This window comes from Homo sapiens, chromosome 13 (genome assembly GCF_000001405.40).
Source record: "Homo sapiens chromosome 13, GRCh38.p14 Primary Assembly".
NCBI classification, from domain to species: domain Eukaryota; kingdom Metazoa; phylum Chordata; class Mammalia; order Primates; family Hominidae; genus Homo; species Homo sapiens.
The window spans coordinates 105,147,133-105,154,969 of NC_000013.11; positions in this window are offsets into that span (position 1 = coordinate 105,147,133).

Consider the following 7,837-nt stretch of genomic DNA (forward strand, 5'->3'; position numbering starts at 1 on the left):
GTATTGTTATTATTTAGGAAATGATATTTTACAGAGGGCTTTAGTCACACTGCTTTGTCCTTGGAAACTAACTTATATCATAGGCTTAAAACATAAAATTAATTTGGTATCATTGCTACAAGATTATTAATTCTGCTATGCATTAATAGTTTACTCACATAAAAAAATCTGATTTTATTTGCTATGATGTCATTGAATAAATTTCCTTAATCCCGACAAAAGATGTTTTTTTCTAACTTTGGGTTCTTACACCTACAGATATAGAAATGATTTCTCATATATTATTATTTGCCTTTTTAGGCTATTAAACAGTATAACCTTGTTTAGCTTGCTTCATCAAATATGCATGCTTTTAGCAATCTGATTCCTCATAATACCACTCACATTGTGCACTGGCAGCATTTCTGTTCCCTCTAATGTTTCTGTAACAGTCATACCACCAAGGAGGAGGCTGGGAGGAAGCATAGACTGCTGAAAATAGCAGCGTACCAGATTCTGTGAAGTGCTAGACCAATAATTTATATGTGGAAACACTACCAACAGTCTGGAATGCGACACCATGTTATGCAAGCAAGGGAAATATTGAAATTTATCTTCCTTTGAACAACAATGAAAAAGGCAGCAAACTGTGGCAAAGCAAGCTATGAGGTCACTGCAATGTCATTGTGAATGCAGCTAACACTTGTGTCCTACTTTCCGGCACAGTTAGATTTTGATACGCTTTTCTTTTACATATGCATATGTGTGTGTAGACATGTGTATATACCATCATAAATGTAAACGTTTTCCTCAGGCAAATTAATAATTCTTGAATTGGCAGGAAGGAAATATCTCCATTGTTCTGAATATATTTGCCCTGTGTTTGATGAATCTATGTTGACAAAAATAATTATGTGCCTCCCACTCTTTTTGGAATTAAAATGTGTAGGTCAGGAAAAACAAGTACACATTTCAGGGGTTTTGTTGAATGATTTTCTCCTGTCTTTGTACTTGAGTCACTGAACTTTTTCAATGTGTCAGAGCTGCCAGCAGCTACCTCTCCCCTAAATATTGATTTTGACAGCTTTTCTGCATCATCACTGGCATATTCTATGCAATGTTTAGTTACACAATGAGGACCTGTGTAATCAAAAAATAAACTTAAATACATTTCCCTAGGTTCATAGGAATTACAGGCTGTGCTGTGCAGTGGGTTACTGTGGTCAACAGAAACCAGTCAAGATTATTTACAAAGTAATTTATTTATTTATATATGCAAAATGCTCATTCAACAGATCATAGGTTGGAAAAAAATTAAGGAAAAGATGACTAATTTTTTGAAATATTTTCTTTAGGCCAGTGCTCTGCATTTACCACTCACATTATGGAAATTAGGCCATTTTATTCTTAGTCTTCTAACTTTGTAATCATAAAATATTGTAAAAAAAAACTCAGAAAATTTGAATTCTAGTTTTTTTTTCATCTGTAACACATGAAACCATAAAATAGTGAAACTTTTCAGGATCTTACAAAATTAGCGTACAAAATGAGTGTTGGGGAATTGATTTTCAATGTATTCTTGTTAAATGGTATAATGAAGTTGCTAAGAACATTGTTACAAATACTTCAAAAACACTGAAATTGTTTTGTACAAAGAAAGGGTAGAGGGGCTTGTTACCTTGACTGCTCAGTCTGTCTCCTTAGCCTGTGGTACTAAGAAGTGGAGAGCTAGATGACTGGACTAGATGGATTTCAAGGGTGTTTGCAACTCTCTAATTTTGATTCTCCAATTTTTGTAAATATCCTAAGGCCTGTGTTAAAGTGCAGAGATGATTAAAAGTCATGCTCTGACACAGTGATTTTGTAAATATAGACATAGTTTATAAACTTTGATTTTTCTTAAAACAAAGATGGAGTTAGAAAAAAATCTAAAATATATTGAAATATATAGGATGATTTCTCTTCAAAAGGAACACAAGATGTGCCAAAATTTTTAAGTAACTTACCAAAATAATATTTTAGGGGAATGAATTATGTAATTATATGGATAATTTTATTGCCAACCTAGCGAAATGTAACCTTGATCTACTTTTGGTTATGTAAAGATTTTTAATTGTCACTTTTTACACTCTTAAATTTCCAGATATATTTAAAAAGAAGGCAAAATTAATTAAGATAGAATAAATCACAAAGAACTCATTAACCAAAATACAAAAAAAGTAGAGAAAATCCAGTTTTAATGAAACCCTAGTAATACAATGATAGTTATAATTGACAAAGATCTTTTTGAAACATATTCCTGATTCCATTTCTTTATAAGAATACATGAAGTATAATTCAAAAATTTATTTGATTTTCAATTCTTATGGGTGATATTTTAATAATTGTAATTTATTATAAGAAAAGGGAAATTTTAAAATGGTTTAAGTGATTGGCATACATTTTGAAATCAGCAAATTTCAGCCCCAAAGGATTTAGGCAGTGTTTTTCGCCACCAAGCAAATTAAGCTATCTACTATGCATCATTTATTTCATATTAAACATCTCTCTGTTACAAAGACATAATAATATCTCTAGCTATTATTGTATCAGCAAAATGTTTGTATTGATTGTATGTCAAATATTATATCAGGGAAAAGCATATCAGAGAATGTTGCCTCCATTTCCAACCTTCAATCTTTACTCCATCCTTCTTTACTTCTCAAAGTGTTACAATTTTACAACTCATAATGGGAGTTCTATATCCTATGTATTTAGATAATATTCAGACAGCTACCATATTTTTTTATTATACTTTAAGTTCTAGGGTACATGTGCACAATGTGCAGGTTTGTTACATATGTATACATGTGCCATGTTGGTGTGCTGCACCCATTAACTCGTCATTTACATTAGGTATATCTCCTAATGCTATCCCTCCCCCCTCCCCCCACCCCACAACAGGCCCTGGTGTGTGATGTTCCCCTTCCGATGTCCAAGTGTTCTCATTGTTCAATTGCCACCTATGAGTGAGAACATGCAGTGTTTGGTTTTTTGTCCTTGCGATAGTTTGCTGAGAATGATGGTTTCCAGCTTCATCCATGTCCCTACAAAGGACATGAACTCATCCTTTTTATGGATGCATAGTATTCCTTGGTGTATATGTGCCACATTTTCTTAATCCAATCTATCACTGATGGACATATTTTGATGTTTGTTCTTGGGATAGATAAATACAGTCTCATATTCACAGGTTTAGAAAGTTAGATACAAATTGAGCATTCCTAATCTGAAAATCTGAAATGCTCCAAAATCCGAAATTGTTTGAGTGCCCACATGACACCACAAGTGGAAAATTCCACACCTGACCTCATGTGACAAGTGCAAGTCAAAACACAGACAGGTGTGCGACATTGAGAGTGTGGATTCACCAGCATCACAGTGAACACAGACCACCTAATGGTATCTGATTATGAAACAATCAAAGATTTATCACAATGAAAACTGAAGAGAACTATGAATACTTAATAGCTTGGTTGCAGAAATCTAATAAAAAACACAGCATCAAATTTTTAAAGGTTTGTAGTGATAAATCATCTACCCATCATGAAGCAGTGGAGCATCTACCCATCATTTTCAAGTTTGCCATGGTCATCACTGATGAAACAACCCCATCAAAAAGTGGGCGAAGGATATGAACAGACACTTCTCAAAAGAAGACATTTATGCAGCCAAAAGACACATGAAAAAATGCTCATCATCACTGGCCATCAGAGAAACGCAAATCAAAACCACAATGAGATACCATCTCACACCAGTTAGAATGGCGATCATTAAAAAGTCAGGAAACAACAGGTGTTGGAGAGGATGTGGAGAAATAGGAAGACTTTTACACTGTTGGTGGGACTGTAAACTAGTTCAACCATTGTGGAAGTCAGTGTGGTAATTCCTCAGGGATCTAGAACTAGAAATACCATTTGACGCAGCAATCCCATTACTGGGTATATACCCAAAGGATTATAAATCATGCTGCTATAAAGACATGTGCACACGTATGTTTATTGCGGCACTATTCACAATAGCAAAGACTTGGAACCAACCCAAATGTCCAACATTGATACACAGGATTGAGAAAATGTGGCACATATACACCATGGAATACTATGCAGCCATAAAACATGATGAGTTCTTGTCCTTTGTAGGGACACAGATGAAGCTGGAAACCATCATTCTCAGCAAACTATCGCAAGGACAAAAAACCAAACACCGCATGTTCTCACTCATAGGTGGAAATTGAACAATGAGAACACATGGACACAGGAAGGGGAACATCACACACCAGGGCCTGTTGTGGGCTGGGGGGAGGGGGAGGGATAGCATTAGGAGATACACCTAATGTTAAATGACGAGTTAATGGGTGCAGCACACCAACATGGCACATGTATACCTATGTAACTCAACTGCACATTGTGCACATATACCCTAAAACTTAAAGTATAATAAAAAAAAAAAGGAAGAAAATCTGATGCCAAAACAAGTCTATAATGCGAATGAAACTTCACTGTTTTGGTGTTCCCTGCCAAAATTGACTACAGCCAATGAGACAGCTCATACAGGAATTAAGAATGCCAAGAACAGAACACCTGCACTGTGCTAATGCAGCAGGCGTACATAAGTGTAAACTCGCCATGATAGGCAAAGCTTGCATCCTCACTGCTTTCCATGAGTACATTTCTTACTAGGTCGTTACTATGCTAATGAAAAAGGATAGGTCATCAGGGGCAGCTTTTCTGACTGGTTTCATCACCATTTTGTACCAGCAGCTCATGTTCACTGCAGGGAAGCTGGACTGGATGAGGACTGCAAGATTTTGTTATTCCTTGACAACTGTTCAGCAGATCCTGCAGCTGAAATTCTCTTTAAACATTCATGTTTATTTCATGTGTTTTCCCCAAATGTGACTTTATTAATTCAGCTGTGTGACAAAGGTATCCTTAGATCAATGAAAATTAATATAAAAAATACTTTCTTGAATACCATGCTAGCTAGCATCAGTGAATAGTGGTATAAATATGAAAGTTTCTAAAAAGGAACTTAGCATGAAGGATGCTGTTTTGGCTTTTGCCAAGGCTTGGAACACAGGAACTAAATACATAGCTATGCATGTCTAGCATACCCTCTGGGTCTGCAACTATGCTCAGTGATGAGGATTAATAAGGTGGTGACTTTGAGGGATTCTGTGTATCAAGTGAGAATAAAATGTTGTCTGACCTCTTTACATATGCAAAAAATATACCTTCAGAGTCCCTCAGTAAACTGGATGAAGTGAACATTGAAGAATGTTATAGACGTTATTGATATTAAGGCTCAGTTGTTCACTCATTGACTGATGGAGAAATAGCCAAAATGGTTCAGAATCAAGGTGATCATGATAATAGTGGCAATGAAGATGACATTGTTAACCCTGCAGAGAAAGTGCCTACAGAAGACATAATGAAAATGTTTAATCAGCTTATTGAAGGACTGGAGCAGCATGGATTCATAGAGCAAGAAATCATGTCAGTTTATAAAATCAAAGAGAGGCTTGTAAGAAAAAATATTGTTAATGAGGGAGATGACTGGAGGAAACACTTTAGAAGCCATCCAGCCGAATATGTCCTCTTCCCCAGAGGACCCACTTCCTAATCCCTCGACTGCTTCTGATGTTTCTTCTCAAATAAAATAATAATAATACAGCGTACAGTAACTTTTAAATTAAAATACAGACTCGTAGGTGGAGACTGGAAGCCTTCCTTTGTTTGTTATTGCTATTTTGTAACAGCTTGTTTATTGTGATGCTGCTGCTATACTGCTTAGTTACCTTCAGCATATTATTTTTTATTGCATGAATGGTATGTCAATTTTTAACTGTTAAGTACTTACATGTGAATAGGTATAAGAAAATGATTGCTTATGTGTAGCATATAAATTCAGAGACAGGAATAATGTTGGTGTCAAACAAAATATTAAAAATATTATCTAAAATTACCTTCAGACTATGTCTATAAGGTAGATACGAAACATACATTGATTTTCTGTTTAGACTTGGGTTCCATCCCCAAGATATCTCATCATGTATTTGCAAATATTTCAAAATTTGAAAGTGGTGTGTTCCCATGGTCTGTTCCAAATCCTTGATTTGACCCTGGGTAAATAGATTCAGGTCCACAATGAAGTAGCCCTGGTTTTGAAATTGCGGCTCTTCTTAAATCTTGACATTTCTCAGAGATGGACCAATCTCATAAACAGTCTTCATGTCTTTTCTCTAGTATCATTTGAATGCTCCGAATTCTAGTTCTTTGCTCAAAAACTAATGGATGCTGAAGCTGTTCACCCAAATACTGATGGTTGTAATGTGATTAATTAAGAATACATTTAGAAAAATATACACTATGGTTTAATTCAATCATTAGGTTGTATGTGTTAAGAGCTGGTTATCAGCCGGTTATCTGCAGTGCAGTGTACTATGTACTTGAAATAGGCATGTTTTATAGAAAAGAAACAGTTATGTTATACTTTACTTCACATAATTTTATGTTATATATGGTTGTCAAACATAAACATCTTGAAAACGTTAAAGCCTGATAACTTGAATAGCATTCTAGAAAGTAAGGTTTTGGCATCATTTGGCAACTGACCTTCATAAGAATGAATTCCATGAGTAAATAAATACTACATATTTCTTTTTGCTTTGCAATCTCACTGGTAGAAAAGGAATGAGTCAATCACTCTTACTTAGAGACTCAGGAGGCATGATGAAAAATGTATTTCAGCTCATTGCATAATGAGCAAAAGGCTACATCAAATAGTAATGGTACAATGCAAATAGGTAGCTTTGGACCTTCCAGTGCTCTGGAACATACATTAGTATATTTTCCCTAAAATTATTTTACGGTATATGCAGGAAGTTTTCCTCTACCCATTTTGAAACAAGAATATCAAATAATGAATTACACTTAACTTAAGAGACATTGTTGGGAGATAAGATTTTTGCCTCTGGAGTCAAGGCAACAAAGCCTAGTAGTTGTTGATAATGATGAGAGAATAAATAAAAGATAAATTTAGGTGAAGAGTAGGGGACTTGTCTCAATAATCTACAGAAATTTTGAATTTCATTTTGTGAAAAATGGAAATCATTGAAGATTTTGAATGAGGAAGTTTGTAATGAAAGCTGCATGAAACAACCACTGTTAAGAGGTTTTTATTATCCCCATTTTACAGGCAAGAACATTAAGGTTTAAGACTATATCATATAACCAAGGACACACAGAGAAGTGCTAGCAGATCCAGAATTCAAAACTAGGCCTGTCTGACACATCGATTTCCTTTTGCCCAAAGTAGAAGATGAAGAAAACTTAGAAGGAAAGAGATGGAGGTGGGAGGTGGCTGGAATAGGCAGTTTAAAGATGGAAATGAATACTTTCAGTCATTATTGACATATGGGCTAAGAAGGAGAGACGGAGAAGTTAAAAGATAAATTTCATATTTTGAAATCAGGAAAATGAATCATTAATATGAATTACCACATTGCAGAAACAAAGCCTGGCATGAAAAGTCAATCCTGTACAATGTTATTTTAAATTATTTAAAAAGAATGGTAGAAAGCATCTATTGACTGAAGGTGTTTACTATATTAAAAATGACTGACTTCTAAATATGATGTCTCTTGTTTAATTACTAAGTCCTTCATATAAATCATTGTATTTGACTCTCACAACTTCATGAAATGTACTAGTGATGTAGAAGTTACGGCTTAGAGAGGATAGGTAATTTGGTCAATGTTATGCAGTGAGTACATGACAAAGTTGGGGTCATAAATTTTTGATTTCTCATTCCACAT